Source organism: Homo sapiens, chromosome 5 (genome assembly GCF_000001405.40).
Source record: "Homo sapiens chromosome 5, GRCh38.p14 Primary Assembly".
Classification (NCBI taxonomy): domain Eukaryota; kingdom Metazoa; phylum Chordata; class Mammalia; order Primates; family Hominidae; genus Homo; species Homo sapiens.
The window spans coordinates 97,391,501-97,407,426 of NC_000005.10; the positions used below are offsets into that span (position 1 = coordinate 97,391,501).

The 15,926-nt window shown below is 39.2% G+C and overlaps 1 annotated feature.

The window, feature by feature from the left end:
- Positions 8,754-9,594: an enhancer, noted in NCBI's record as "OCT4-NANOG hESC enhancer chr5:96735958-96736798 (GRCh37/hg19 assembly coordinates)". NCBI's record gives its function as "activates a minimal SCP1, AML or CMV promoter by ChIP-STARR-seq in naive and primed H9 embryonic stem cells {active_cell/tissue: H9 hESC(naive and primed)}" and the evidence as "EXISTENCE:reporter gene assay evidence [ECO:0000049][PMID:30033119]".

Consider the following 15,926-nt stretch of genomic DNA (forward strand, 5'->3'; position numbering starts at 1 on the left):
CAAGAAACTTCCAAGGCTAAGCCCCAATTTTAGGGCTTGCTCACCCTACATCAAGTGGTGCCCAAAGTGGGGCTGAAGAGAGAAGATGACGGTGAGAGAAGCAGTGGTTATAGTTGGCAAGATGATGGCAAGAGACAGCGACCAGTGAGATGATGAGCAAAGAGGAGAAAGATGGTAAAGTGGTCAGTGACTGAGGCTTCAAGAGTTGTAACACTGAAGAGCTGCTCACACTGCAAGAGCTATAGCACTAAGCAAAGGCTCTTTTCAGAGCCCTCATTTTTCCAGACAGGCGGTGGAGGTGAGTGGACAGGCAAGTGATCATAGTACTGCTGCCTTATACAATACCTGCCACTCTGACCAGCAGGCTAGTGGGTTACTGGTCCCTGTGCTGGCACTCCCACTGCAACAGCTGAGCCTACCCAACCTTGGGAACCTGAAGAAAGCTCACTTGGGTCCCATGCAGAAGATTCATCAGCACCATTTTGGCTCCTGTGGATTGATGAGTGTCCCCACTTCCCCAATTCCCATAATATTGGGTGAGCTAGGGAATAAAAGCCTCTGGCTAAGTGGTCAATTTAAAGTCCCCTGTCATTTGAATGCCCTGAAACACACCCTTGTTACCCCTTCCCCTGGTCCTTTTTCTTCTGACTCCATTTTATTGCACCACCAGTCATTTTATTTTCAGTCCTAAAATTAATGTTTTTTTTGCAGGACTCTGAAATGCCAGAGTCACATTGTTCTGTGGCCCCAGCCATGCCTTTGGGGTTCTGTTGGCTACCCCCTGGGTGCTCTGGGGTTTTCAGCATTGGTTGGCTCCCAGATACTCTGGGTTTTCTTGCATTAGTTGTGGAGACCCTCACTGGCCGATATTCAGGTACTGTGGATTTTAGACATTTGGTATTTTTAGTTGCTCCCTGGATTCTCCAGGGTTTTTGACAGTGGCATTTCTTCTAGGAATGTGGGTTGGAGGCCCACCCTGGGGGAATCTTGGGGGAAACTTGGTCTTGCCTTCTCTTGTTTTTGGCTCTAAAGTTATTATTTTTCACAACAGCATTTTTTTTCTTGTCACTTTATTTACACTTTTCCTTCTACACTTAGTTAAAAAATACTTCTTTTGTCATATTTTGTTTACTGGCAAACACTTATAATCTACTCTCATAACTTGCTAACTATACTTACACCTTCTTTGCAGGAAGTGAGAAACTAAAAGGGAAAAATAGCAAGGGCCTAGTTGCTTTCCCTCTTACTAGATTTAGAAAGTCTTCTGTGTCCTGTAGAAATCCTTGTTAGACATGGGGACAATGATGAGCACCCCAGAGGACTCTCCACTAGGGTGTCTTTTAGGCTACTAGAGCAAATTCAAATTTGGCTTAAAGAAACTCATTTTCTATTGCAACACTTTTTGGGTCCATTACACAGTAGAAAACCAACACATCTGGCCTAGGCATGTAATGTTATTTTACAATTAGATTCATTCTGTAAATAAGAAGGATAATGGGAGGAGGTACCTTATGTACAGGCTTTTATGACCCTTTACTTGTTTATGTTACTTCCACCACCAGGAAGCTACCCCTGAGCTATCCCTAAGGGATCTCCTCCTAGCTTCTCTCCCTAGAAGCCCTAACGCTCCGTGGATCTTCTTCAGTCCCTCAATTCTGGTCAGGGGGAATCTCACTAGTTCTCTAATGAAGGATTCCACCCCAGGGCCATCAGGTACCCCTTCCCCTTATCCACTAGCCCTAGCTTATAGCTCCTACTGCCTGAGAAGAAAGTAAGCTCAAACAGTACCACCAGGAGTGGGGTCCCACATCAGTGTCTAAAATCGAACCTGTGTCGATTGCAGGAGGTAGCTGATGGAAATAAAGTAACACTTGGAATATATGTCCAATTTTCTAAGTGTGATTTGGCTTTCTCCAGTCAAAATATGGGCGATTTTCAGAGGATCCAAAAAAGTTCATAGAGATGTTTGTTAAGGTGACCATGTGCTTTAATTTGTCAAGACTTGCAAGTATTGTCACATACTTACTGTGTTGTAGGAAAAAAAAGTTAAGCCAGTTAATTATGACAAGGTTAAAGAAATTAAGTCAGGGAAAAGACAAAAATCCTGCTCTGTTTCAGGGTCATTTGGTTGAGGCATTCAGAAATATATGAATACAGACCCAGACTACCCCTAAGGGAAAGCTCTCCTTGGTATGTATTTTATTATTCATTCTACCCCTGGTATTAGAAGGAAGCTTTAGAAAGCAGCAATGGGACCCCAAACCTCTATGAGCCAACTCTTAATCATCACCTCTAAAGTTTACAATAGGGATAGGGCAAAAGAGGTTAAAAAAAAAAGGAAATAGCCAAAAAATGCAATTATTAACAGTTTCATTAAGCTCCCTACCCTCTCAGGGTTACCCGTCCCAAGAAAGTGTCACAAGATTGGCATCTGAAATGCCCAAAGAAGAGTTCCTGACTCTCTGGCCCCTGGGCTAGAATCAGTGTGTGTAGTATAAGCAAAAGGGCTATTGACAATGAGAATGTCTTAACCATCCCCCCGTGAGAGAGAAAAAAAGCTCCCCATCAATACTAGAGCCAACCTTCTTCCACTGGCCCCAACAAGCTACCTTGTTCAAGTACGTTTACTAGGGGTCTTCGACACTTGACTTGATGAACAGCTTTCTGCAGTGGCAGACAAGTGGCCACTCAAACATTTTTCTTCAGTGTTTCCACTGCCCGGTGAGCCCTCCAGTGGTTTAGGGATTCCAGGATCTCCCTTTGAGTAATATACTTTGCCCCCTCCCTTCCTTACTTAATGCTATGGGATCCTCTTCCCTGACTCTTTCTGTTTTCCATACCTATTGGGGCAAACAAAATTTGGCCAGGTAGACAGGTTCCAATTTTGTAAACAACTTGGATCCAGTTGTATTGTGTAGGTCACTTTGTTTGATATGTTTGTTTATGTGTATATACAGGTATTGTGATGGGTGTTATGTCTAGGATGCTATCAAATTGGTTTATAAACCAAATTGGTTTATAAACTCACTCATAAATTAAACAAATAAGGCTAGTTTAAACGTTTTAGTTTGAAAATAATGTTGTGTCTTCTCAAATGTAACTTTATAATAAATTGATGTCCATAGGCTTTAGAATGGTTAAAATGGCCTTAAATAGTGAGCTTTGTGTAGTTAAAAATCTTAAATTGTGAAATGGTTCTCATCTATAAAATGTCAATGTCTGGTGGGCAATTCAGGATTTCTTGCTTTCTAGGTTTATAGAAAATATACCAAAAATTGTACTGTCTATTGGGAAAAGAAAAAAAATAAATATATATATGTCAGTTTGGAAATTATTAAAAGGGAGTTTCAAAATATGAGGGAACCAATTAGTAGAAAACAGATGTAAAGAATGTTATGGATAGAAAGTGCATTTTTTTTTTGGCTAGGAAGAATGTAAAAAAAGGGTAATTTTATATGAGAAAGGATTTTGAATAGTAAATCCTGGTCCTAGGGTAATATGATTGGCTATTTAAGAAGAAGGTAGAAAATGTAGGACAAGTCAGAAAGTCCAAGCATAATGTAGCTGGTCTGCGTAAGTGAGGATAAGGCTTGTGAAGGGGAATTTATAAAAGTAATTTTGTTTAGGATTAAGCTTGCTATGATTAAAGAAGAATTATTTGCGGTAGACTTTCTAGAAAATGGCCTCCATATTAGAACCAGGCTTTCTTAAGGTATTGATTTCCTAAATTAGAGGAAATTTTGCTGTTAGAACTATAACCAATTTCTTTTAAAACTTCTCAGATTAATGTCTAACATATTCAACTATTGTTTTACTTCCAAGTTTATCTCCCTTTAAGAAGGCCTGGAATAACGGCTGTCTCCTTTTTCATCATCTCCAGTGAGTTTTTCTCTTCTGATTCTGACTAAAATTGTGGCTTGATGCTAAAGTGTTTTGTCTCAGAGGTCTTTGGGAGCAATGTTTCCCCCCAATATAGCTTGATTCTATAATCTTGGTTTTTACTGATATATAATCTTATTTTTGTCTTTTAGTTTTTGACTCAAAAATATTTTAAGGGCTACTGAGTGCCTCCTCATCTCCATTGGCCTAGAATGTTTAATTGGCTAAAAGTCTTTTAACTCTAAGTACCTTGGCCAAAGAGAATCTATAAGACACACCTGTCAGCACCATGACAGTTTACCATTGCCATGGCAACACCAAGACCTTAACACCCTTTTCCATGGCAACACCTGGAAGTTACTGCCCCTTTTCTAGAAATTTCTGAATGACCTGGCCCTTAATTTACACATAATTATAAGTGGGTATAAATGCCCCTGAACTGCTAATCTCATCATACTGTCTATGGGGTAGCCCTTCTCTGCAAGAGCAGTCACACAGCAGTAACACTGCTGCCTCAATAAAAAGCTGTTTTCTGTTACTACCAACCTACCCTCGAATTCTGTCCTGAGTGAAGCCAGAAACCTTCCTGGGCTAAACCCAAATTTTGGGCATCTTCTGCCCTGCATCAAAACTATCTTCCAAAGTATACCACTTTGCATCCCCACCAGCAATGAATGAAAGCTCCTGTTGCTCTGCACCCTTGACAGCAATTGGCATTGTCAATTTTTGGATTTAACTTCTAAAAATTATGTAGTGGTATTTCATTTGTATGAAAAATAATTTTCTCTCCACACTTTATAGTTCTTAACTGGAACTCACTGTAGCAAAACAGAGATTAACAGGAGAAAAACAGAATTTTATCAACATATATACTGCCTGTATATATGTTGATTTCTCTGGGAGAAAACCCAGAGAAATGAGTAAATCGCCAGAGTAAACTCAAAAGTGCATTTAAGCTTTAGGCTTTAGTATCACTTCCTGTGAAACAAAAAAGTTTGTGAGGAAAGGCTCAGTTAAGAGGAGATTGCCAGGAAAAGCACCATAAAACAAAGGTAAGATTTATTGTACAGATGTAAGCATATGCTGTCTCTATTGGTTAAGTCTCTGGTGATTTAGTTATCATTCTCTTCCTGCTGCAGAGAGGAAGACACCCTTATAAATAGAGATTTTCTTTCTAGAGATAAGTTTCTCTTACGAAAGAGCAAATTTTCATAGCTACTCCCATGTCTGCAGTTTTTCAACATAACCAATCCAAAATAATGAGTATGCCAAAGGGACATATTCTGGTTACCTACGGTCATATTTTGGAGTAATATGTCCTGAGCTCTATCACATGTTGTTTTAATTTGCAATTCCCTAAAGACAAATAGTATTGAGACTCTTCTCATATGCTTGTTTGCCATCTATATATTGTAGGGGCAAAGAGAGTTTTCCTCTCTCTCTGAAGATTAGAATTTGATGAAATAAATGGACAAGGATAGATTAACATGAGGAAGGGCACACAAATTTATTAATATGCACCAGACCACCAAAATATGAGACACAAAGAAGGATCAAATGGCTGAAGCTTAAATAGCACCCTCTTCATAGAGGAGAGTGACATGGGGGAATGTAGGCAATTTTGAGGGGTATTAAATGATTTTTAGGAGAGTTTAATAGACTCAAAGAGCAGACAATAGTTTATAAATGATTCTCTTTAGAAATTGAATGGTACTGAAGAACAGACAATAGCTTGTGACAAAGTCTGCCTAGGTATAGTGACATTCCTCTGTCATCCTTTCTGCAATATGAGTTTAATCTTCCCTGGTTAGTAAGAGTTTAGGGAAGAGATCAAAGGCAATTATCTTCCTTCTGGAGGAGCCTCAGATAAGTGAACTTTGCATACAGTTCTATTGCTTGCTTGGGGGTAGATATCAAGAGAAGGTCAAAAAGTCCTTGGCTCTGAGGATGCTTTTAAGGCCTTTTAATTCTCTTTAATTCAAAGTGCTCAGCATTTCAAAATGCCATACTTTGCAGTATCTTTCATGAACTCCAACAACATCCTCTTTGGTAAAGTGTCTAGTCAGATTCTTCCCCTATTTTTTAATTTGTTTGTTTGTTTTCTTATTAAGTTTTAGAGTTGTTTGTATATTTTGGATAGAAATTCTTTAATAGATATGTGTTTTTGAAAATATTTCCTAACAGTCTGTGTTTTTCTTTTCATTTTTATAATAGTTTTTATCATAGAGTAGATGTTTTAAATTTTGACAAAGACCAACTTAATTTTTTTAATGGATCATGGTTTTGGTATGGTATATAAAGTCTTCATCAAACCCAAGGTCACCTAAATTTCTATATATCCTGTGTTTTCTTCTTGACGTTTTATAGTTTGCATTTTACATTTAGATCCATTATTCATTTGGAGTTAACTTTTGTGAAAGGTCTAAAGTCTGTGTCTAGATTCTTTCTCCTTTTTGTTTGCATATAAATGTCTCATTGTTTTCAGCACCATTTGTTGAATAGACTCTCCTTTCTTCATTGAATTACCCTTGATCTTTTGTCAAAGATCAGTTGATTGTACCTGCATAGGTCTATTCTTGGGCTTTCTATTCTATTCCATTCAGTGTACTCTCTTTCCAGTGCCATGCTGTCTTTCTTACTGTGGCTTTATAGTAGGTCTTGAAATGGGTAGTATGAGTCTTCCAACTTGGTTTTTCTTCAGCATTGCATTGTATTCTGGATCTTTTCCCTCTTCATTTAAAGTTTAGAGTAAGTGTATCTACAACTACAGAAGAGCTTATTGAGATTATGCTTGGGATTGCATTTAATCTATAGATCAAATTGGGAAGAACTAACATTTTAACGATATTGAGTCTTTCAATCCATGAACATGGAATATCTGTCCATTAGAGCTTCCTTTGATTTCTTTCATCAGATTTTCTTTCCTGCACATGTATTCTGTACATTTCCATTAGATATACCTGATTATTTTACCTGTTATTGGGTGCTATTACAAACGGTATTTTAAAAAAAATTCCTATTGTTCATTGCTGGTATATAGAATAGCAATTGACTTTTGTACATTAACCTTCTATTCTGATACTTTGCTATACTCATTTATTAGATCCAGGAATTTTTTGGTTGATTCTTTGGACTATTTTCTTCATAATCATTTCATATAGGAATTAAGATAGTTTTATTTCTTCCTTTCCAATCTGTTTTTCTTTTACTTCCCTTTCTTGTTTTACTTCCCTTTCTTATTGTACTAACTAGTACTTATAGTATAATGTTAGATCAGAATGATGAAGGCAGACATCCTTGCTTTATTTTCGACAATACTTGTAAAGGGTCCTTTTTATCATTATTAAGTATGATGTTAGTTATAGTGAAACTGCCTTTACAAAATTCTGACATTAAGTGAATCTGACATAGTAGACTCCATCTTGCTTCTGACCTCCAAGCTGTCCTTGGCCATTCCCAAAGCTAGCTTTGGGAGGAATTTAGTTTATAGTTTGACTTTAAAACAAAGATGATAATAACTCTTCCCAAAATTAAACATGTTTGTAAAACTAATGAAAATCCACAAGGTTAGTTTCATGGGTGTCCGTGTGAAGAGACCACCAAACAGGCTTTGTGTGAACAATAAAGCTTTTAATCACCTGGGTGCAGGCCGGCTGAGTCCAAAAAGAGAGTCAGCGAAGGGAGATAGGGGTGGGGCCGTTTTATAAGATTTGGGCAGGTAAAGAAAAATTACAGCCAAAGAGGGTTTGTTCTCTGGCAGGCAGGAGTAGGGGTCGCAAGGTGCTCAGTGGGGGAGCTTTTTGAGCCAGGATGAGCCAGGAAGAGGACTTTCACAAGGTAATGTCATCACTTAAGGCAAGGACTGGCCATTTTCACTTCTTTTGTGGTGGAATGTCATCAGTTAAGGTGGGGCAGGGCATATTCACTTCTTCTGTGATTCTTCAGTTACTTCAGGCCATCTGGGCGTATACATGCAAGTCACAGGGGATGTGATGGCTTGGCTTGGGCTCAGAGGCCTGACAGTTAGGATTATGAGAAGGTCTTGAACTCTATCTACATAGTTTCTATGACCCATTACGACTCAGGAGTCATGTGGCCAGAGGTCATAAGATTTGTGACTTCCCCAAATGCTCCTATAGATAACATCACTATTATAGAACCTGATTGGGTTTATCGAGATGTTTTTCAGACTGACTCCACCCAGACTTGTGGCTCATGACTCAACTGATCCTGTGGCCCCATACAGAGGAGACTTAGTGCATGAGGACCATTTTCCACACCCCTACGATTTCATCCAAAATCAATCTGCAGCACCCATTTCCTACCCACCAAATTGTCCCTAAAACCCCTAACTTCTGAGCCTTTAGGAAGACTGATTTGAGTGATAACTCTAGTTCTCCTAGGTGGGCCAGCCTCATGTCTATTAAACCCTTTATTCCAATGCTGTAGTCTCAGTAAATTGATATTGTTTGTGCAGCAGCCAGGAAGAACCTGTTGGACAATTACCATAGGTAATTGTTGATGTTCTTTATTAGGTTTAGGAAGTTTTTTTATATTCCTAATTTGCTGAGAGTTTTATTTTTAAATTTATTGTGAATGGGTGTTGAATTTTATCAAATGCTTTTTTGCATTAATTGATATGATAACACAAGTTTTCTTCTTTAGTGTATTGATGTGGTGGATTACATTGATTAATCTTTGTTATGTTAACCAGCTCTACCTGAAATGTGTAAATTCTTTTTTATATTGTTGGATTCAATATGCTAATATTTTGTTGAGGATTTTTGCATCTATGTTTATGAGAGATATTGGAGTGTAGTTCTTATTTCCTATGTTATCTCATTTTGGTATGCGGTAACGCTGGTCTTAAAAAATAAATTGGAATGTGTTCTCTTTGTTTCTATTTTTGGAAGGGATTGTGAAACATTGCCTTCCTTCAATGTTTGGTAGAAATCATTTGTGAAATCATTTGGGCCTCATGGTTTCAATTTTTAAAATAAATATAGGCCTACTAAGATTTTCTCTTCTCCTGGTATAAGTTTTGGTATTTTGTGTCTTTCAAGGAGTTTGTTCATTTTATTTATGTTACTATTAGGAGTACCATAGTTTGGTGCTTTGGCACGCTGAGCACCTTGAATGAAAAGAAATTGGAAGACATTTGAAGCTGCCTCACAATCAATGTCTCTCTGACCTTCCCTTGTTTCTTTCCCAGTGCAGACAGGGCGTCTGTCTGAAATTCCCTTTATTTGACTAAGGAAAGTTCTTTCAAAACAAACACAATGGCAATCAATCCCCTGTGTGAAATCTCATTAACCAGGGAAGATGAATCACAAAAGATGAAACTAAAGGTTATTGTCATGTCCACCTAGGCAGATGTTTTATCTATTCTTCTGAAGGCTGTTACCTGAGAGACTTTATCTGCATAGTTTGGCAATCTTTGTTTGTAGTGCAGTTCTACCCCTCACCTTTTCGTAACTGTCACCACCTCCCACACAGTCTGGAGGAACTTTGTCCCAGGCTGTTTTCTGTGCTACAGGCCCGTTCATCTCCCCTAAAAATCATTTACTCTTCCTTTCAAATTGTCTGCATTCCACACTTTCTTCCCCACTAAGAAGAGGATTTTTAAGCTTCAACCATCTAGCTGTTTCTTGAGTTTCATCTTTTGTGTGATTCCTATGTACTTGCACATTAATAAATTTATTTGCCATTTCCTCTGTTAATTTGCCTTTTATTAGCATATCTTAGCAGACTCAGTTATCAAAACTTCAGAAAGAAAATTTAAACTTCCCCACATTACCAAATTTTCAGACATAAAATTGTATGTATTATTTCTTTATTATCATTTTAATGTCCATGGCATGAGTAGGAATGACCTGTCTTTCCTTACTGATATTTGTAATTTGTGCCTTTTTTCCCCCAAGTTACTCTGGCTAAAGGTTTATATCGACTTTATTAATCTTTTCAAAAATTAGCTTTTGTTTTTGTTAATTTTTTCTTGTTTTCTTCTTTTTCATTTAATAGATTTCTGTTCTAATTTTTATTATTTCTTTTCTTCTGCTTGCTTCAGACTTAAATTGCTCTTCTTTCTTTAGTTTTCTGAGGTGGAGGCTTAGGTTACTGTTCATAGATATTTCTTCTTTTCTAATATATGCTGCATTCAATAATATAAATTGCCCTATAAGCACTGCTTTTACTTCTTCCCACACATTTTTATAAATTGTATTTTAATTTTCATTTTGTTCCAAATATTTAAAAATTTCTCTAAGACTTCATCTTTGACACATGTGTTGTCTAGAAGTGTTTCATTTAATTTGTAATATTCAGGAACTTTCTGGCTATCTTTTTGTTATATTTCCAGTTTAATTTCACTGTGGTCTGAGAATATAGTTGGTATAATTTGTATTCTTTGAAATTTGTTAAGGTGTGTTTTATGACTTACAATATAGCCTATCTTGGTAAATGTTCCACTCTTAATTTCTTTATCAAGGCACTCATTACACGTTGTTTTAATTATTTTATTAATAGTCTATATTTTCAGCTAGATTCTAAGCTTTATGTAAAGAAGGAGTTATTCCCATTTTCTGTCCTATTCATCATTCTATCACCATTGCTTGGCACAGTTTCTGGCATATAGTGTTTGTCCAGTGAAGGTTAACAATACTTTATATCTGTACTCTCTTGCTTAGTCTTTCTTGTTCTTGGGTACATTTATTTATAAGACTAATTGAGATTTTGGTACTTTGTGGATCTCCTTTAAGGAGTTCAAAAGTATGGCCTTAGTGCTTTCTTAGCACTCTAGTCTAAAACTCAGATTGTGCCCTTAGAATAGCTTTTCAGACTATTGACACTTAAGTTTCAGATATATTGACAAGAAAGTACTACCAGAGTCAGTTGATAATAGTGGCATATGGTTAGTCAGTACTATGTCTTGCATATGGTATGTCTGTTCCCATCGAAGCTCATGTTGAATATTGGGAAGTAAGCCCTAGTGAAAGGTATTTGGGTTCAGGGGTCAAGTCTCTCATGAATGGCTTGGTGTAACTCTCACAGTAATGAATGAGTTTTTGCTTTCTTGACTGTATTAGTTTTCATGGGAATGGGTAAATTCCCAAAAGCGCATTGTTATTAAGCCAGGATACCTCTCAAATTTGCTCCTCTTCACATGTGACTGCTTCTTCTTTGATCTCTGCCATGTTGTGATGCATGTGTGTTTCAAGTTTGTTTATGGTATCTCTGATGGTGCCCTAGAAGTGGAAGAAGGAAACTGGGGGGTCACTGTTAGAAAAGTATCCTCTCTTTCTGAGGCTGTAAGAAATGTGAATGATGAAGCAAAATAATTCAATGGAGGACCTGCAGCTGAAGGAAAGGAGAAAATGCTTTCTGGAGGAGATAGATAACTACTATCATTTGAAGTTGCTGATAACTGAAAACTAATTTGGAACTGAGAATTAATGGAACTGAGTTCAATTCCTGCTGCTTCCACTTGTGTTAGCATCAGTAGCCACCACAGCCTCCCAATCCCTAGAAGAACAGAGCTTCTAAAAACATTTCCAAGTCATCAGGATTTCATATACCCTTGCTTTCATAAAGCCAATTAAGTAAGGTTATAATGATTATTATGATATGAACCTGTTTTACCATATTACTTGATATCCCATTTTTTTTCTTCTGTTGAAAACAAAGGTCAGTTCTTTCTCTTGTTTGATCTCTTGGAAAGGATTCCTTAACTTTTGTGGTCTCTGACCTATGCTGATATGCTTCATAGAAAACCATTAGGGCTTAGATTATTTTTTATGTTGTTATTAAGTAATAGCTGAGATGAAAAGTGTTGATACAAAAGTGTTTCTGGAGAAAATTTCTCTTATATGAGGAATATAGTCTAATATTATTAAATAAGGAATATAATCTATCCAAATTTTATATTTTAGGAGTAAACAATTCAGAATACATGTATTCAGAATGTCTTACATTTTCATTTATTTTGCCTCTTAAAACTAAAATTTGGAAAGAATATATCCTTATTGCATTTGGCATATAGCATGGACTCTATTACCTACAATTCAAAAGTGCTTTCTATTAAATGAAAACCCCATAGGAATAGTAATTCTGGTGTCCTGGGCAGTCATAGCACTTGATAAAAGTTTTGTATTCATGGTTCTTGACCTCACCACTTAGTTTTGTGACTCTGAGTGTGTTGCCTCAGGATTTTTTATGTTGTCAATTTCCTCATCTTAAAAAATGACATTATTATCTGCTCTGCCTTATAATCTTGGGTATGGAAAGGTATAATATATGTAAAAGCTTCTATGGGAAGTTATTATCTTTCAGAGAAAATAAAAAGGGAAACATTCTTAATGATAGTCTATACAGGCCATGATTTGAATCACAGAACTTCCTGGTCCATGATAGTGTAAGATGGCATTTTAATATAAATTCTAGGCATTTTACAGCAAAGGATCCTGAGATGATTTCCACATTTTTATATTATTCTATTGAAATTGATTTTTGAAGGAAGTTCTATAAATTTTTTTCTCTGTGGTAGTATAAATTTTTATTAGATCTCATAAAATTCTTTACTCTTTAGGCTTCAAAAACATTTTAGATAGAAAATATGGAGCATAGCATGCTGACTTGAAAAAAAGAAACGGGCATTTTTCATTTTCATTGTGTCAAGTGGGTGACCTTTTGAATCTGAACTAAAACAAATTGGCAATGACAGCTTCGAATTTTCACTGATTTCTCTTGAAAAACATTATTGCACTTTGTATCTTAGCAGAGGTACCTTTTTTAAAAAAAATAAAAATGAATTATTCATGAAAATCACTTCATCTCATAGTGCACCTGCTGAGAAGGTTTTGCCTTGCCTATTAAAGTGTATGCAAAAGTTGTGCAGTTAAACCTTCAATATCAAATCTCTTTTGCTTTGCTAATATCTTATAATGCATCATAGGAAGGGCAATGACAAACATGTATTCGTATTCGTAGAACATTAAAAAAATAATTAGTACTTGAAAAGGTCATAGAAAAGATCAGAGAAGACTTGCTGTAGCATTTAGCCAGAGATAGAAAGGGTGCGAGATACATCCTTTTCTTCTGATTGATGCTCTTCTCTATTGCATTTGTGTTCTCTTAGTATTACTTAGGATTAGTTCATAACTTCTACACCAAAGTTTTATAGCACTTGCACTGATGATAGCCTACTGCAACAATCCCAGAAGGTAGTATGCAACATTTTCTATTCATGAGATATCTGGCTCTAATGGATATCTCATTAGTTGATCAAAAGGGTAGAAGTAGAATCTCATGGTCAGGAGTTTAAAAAGTGAGCATTTAATGTTGAGGACTTCAGCACTCTTAAAAGGCTTTTTAGTTTAAAGATCAAAACACTTTAAATGCAGGTGAAGTTTACTACTAAACATATTCCCACAAAAATAAGTTTTGTTTATAATAAATTTCTGTTTTGCAGTGGGTATAACATAGACTCAAACTTTACATATTTCTTTTACCTATGGGGACTGTGTAACAAATTAACTTCTCTGATGGCAGTCTACATAACAATTGTATTTGTATGTATGGGTTTCTGTTTTATTTGCCTTATAGACTCTTTTATTCATTCTTCATTTAGTCATCTTAAATTATTTCTTCATCTATTCAGCAAATAAATTTTTGTGCTAGGTTCCAGTGATGTGGAGATGGAAGTAGGTCCCTGCTTTTTAGAAGCTCAAGATTAATGGAAAAGATAAACATGTAAATTTACAGTTATATTACAGTTGAGTAAGTGCCATGATTGATTAGTGCCCAAGGTGCGTTGGGAACTTAGAAGTGAACCATCTAACACCTTCACATGTTGGAGGAATGCCAGTAAAGACTCTCCAGAGAAAGTTTCACTTGAGGGTATCTTGAAATTTGAGAATGAGTTAGCTATGTAATAAGGAGGAATGTATTCTAAGGAGCGCTAACAAAGGAGGCAAAAGATAGCATACCACGTTCAGGAAATTGTACTTATGGGACAAGGAGGTGATGATGGAGGATATGATCAGGGGCCAGATTGTGTCGTATCTGATACTCTTCGACTTATCCTTAAGGTAATGGTCAGCCATTGGATGACTTTAAAATGGCAGATAATGATAAGAATTATAATCTTAAAAGTTCATTCTAGAACAAGTGTGGGATTAGGTTGAAGGAGAAACTGGATATAAGGATATTGAAATGTCACGAGATCATTTGGGTGTCGCTTTGCCAGCCAGAAACCTCTGTGGCCAGCAGCATCTCTGTTGGAGTTTTGCTCACACCCACTGGGCTCATTTTGCCCATTTGGCCTGGCAGGCTGTACTTGGCTTGTGCTTGGCCGAGATAACACACCTGCCAAAGAGGAACCAGGTCGGAGCAGTGAGGGGTGTGTGAGCGAGAAAGTCCAGGGTCTGGCCACTGTGCATGCCATTTGCTGCAGTGGGATAGACAGCTCCAGGTGCTCCCACAGGCGCCAGCTCTGTGGGAGGCTGCAGCTGGACCAGACGTACCAAAAACGGCTTCTGCTATGGGCACAGTGTTTGGACAAGGGGAAAGTGGTGATGCCTGAAAGCTCAGAGATGCCAGGAACTGCAGAGCCCCCAAACGGGTGTTACAGCATGTCACAGCCCTGGCTCAGGGAAACCTAGGTTTGGGCTCCCAGAAGGGCTGCAGCTCTTCTCTCCTTCTTGTTGCCTGCAGTGTGGCGACTTGGGGGATGTGTTTCGCGGGCACGTGTTTTAGCCCATTTGTTTTACAGCTCTTTCGGTCCCACTGCCCTGCTTCGGTCCATGGCTCCTGGGTTGGCCCAGCCCCGGAGCTGCTTCCTGTTGTGTGGGGGCTGCTGCTGGGCTCTGGCAGAGGGTAGGAAGACCATAGTGTTACAGCAGCTCTGGCTTCGGGAATCCTAAGGTCTGGGCCCCCAGAAGGATCACCACTCTTCACTCCCACTGTCCACCACTCACCAAGCCCACAGCTTGGTGAGCCAGCCACGAACATGTTACAGCCCCTTTAGCTCCCACCGTTCGGCAGGTCCTGAGTTCTTGTTTTCCTGCATCTAGGAAAAATGAAGTTATGTGGACAACTGGAGAGTGAGCAAGGCAGAGAGGAGCTTTATTGAGCAACAGAATAGCTCTCAGTGAAATGGCTAGCTCCTATTCACAAGCAGGTCATCCTGGGAGTGTCTGAGTCTGGCTGAGTCCTGGATTTCTATGGGCTCAGAGTGGAAGAAGTGCATGCTTATTAGTCTATGGGCAGAAGGAAGTGTGTGCTGATTGGTGCATGGGTGCCCATCGGCAGGCCTGGAAAAAACACCACTTGATTGGCCAAAAGGCATCAAGGAAGTTCTCGCTCCCGGTTGTGGGCTCCACCCTAATGGGCAGCCTGGCACCCAGGCTTCAGGTGATCCCTGGCTTGAAAGTGGGGTTTCACCAAGTACCCTCCCCTTTCCACATGGGAACCTGTCTGCATTCCCCTGCCATTAACATGCCATTCACAGCACCCACACTGTCCCTTCTGAGGGGCGCCCACAGACCCACACCAAGCCACCCTGGCCTCCCCCCCACACTTGTCGGTGTTCAAAGTCCCCAGGGGGCTGAAGTGGCATGGTGTTGGTGTGTCAGTGAGAGGTGACAGCGTGCTGGCAGCCCTCCCCTGCTCCCGACGTCTCCTCGGCCTCTGTGCCCACTCTGGCGGCGCTTGAGGAGCCCTTCAGCCCGCCGCTGCACTGTGGGAGCCCCTTTCTGGGCTGGCCGAGGCCGGACCCGGCTCCCTCAGCTTGCGGGGAGGTGTGGAGGGAGAGGTGTGGGCAGGAACTGGGGCTGCGCGCCCTTGCGGGCAAGCACGAGTTCCGGGTGGGCGTGGGCTCCGCGGCCCCGCACTCGGAGCCGCCGGCCCGGACAGTGAGGGGCTCAGCACCCGGGCCAGCAGCTGCAGAGGGTGCGCTGGGTCCTCCAGCAGTGCCGGCCAGCCCACTGGCGCTGCTTCTCGCTGGGCCTCAGCTGCCTCCCTGCGGGGCAGGGCTGGGACCTGCAGCCTGC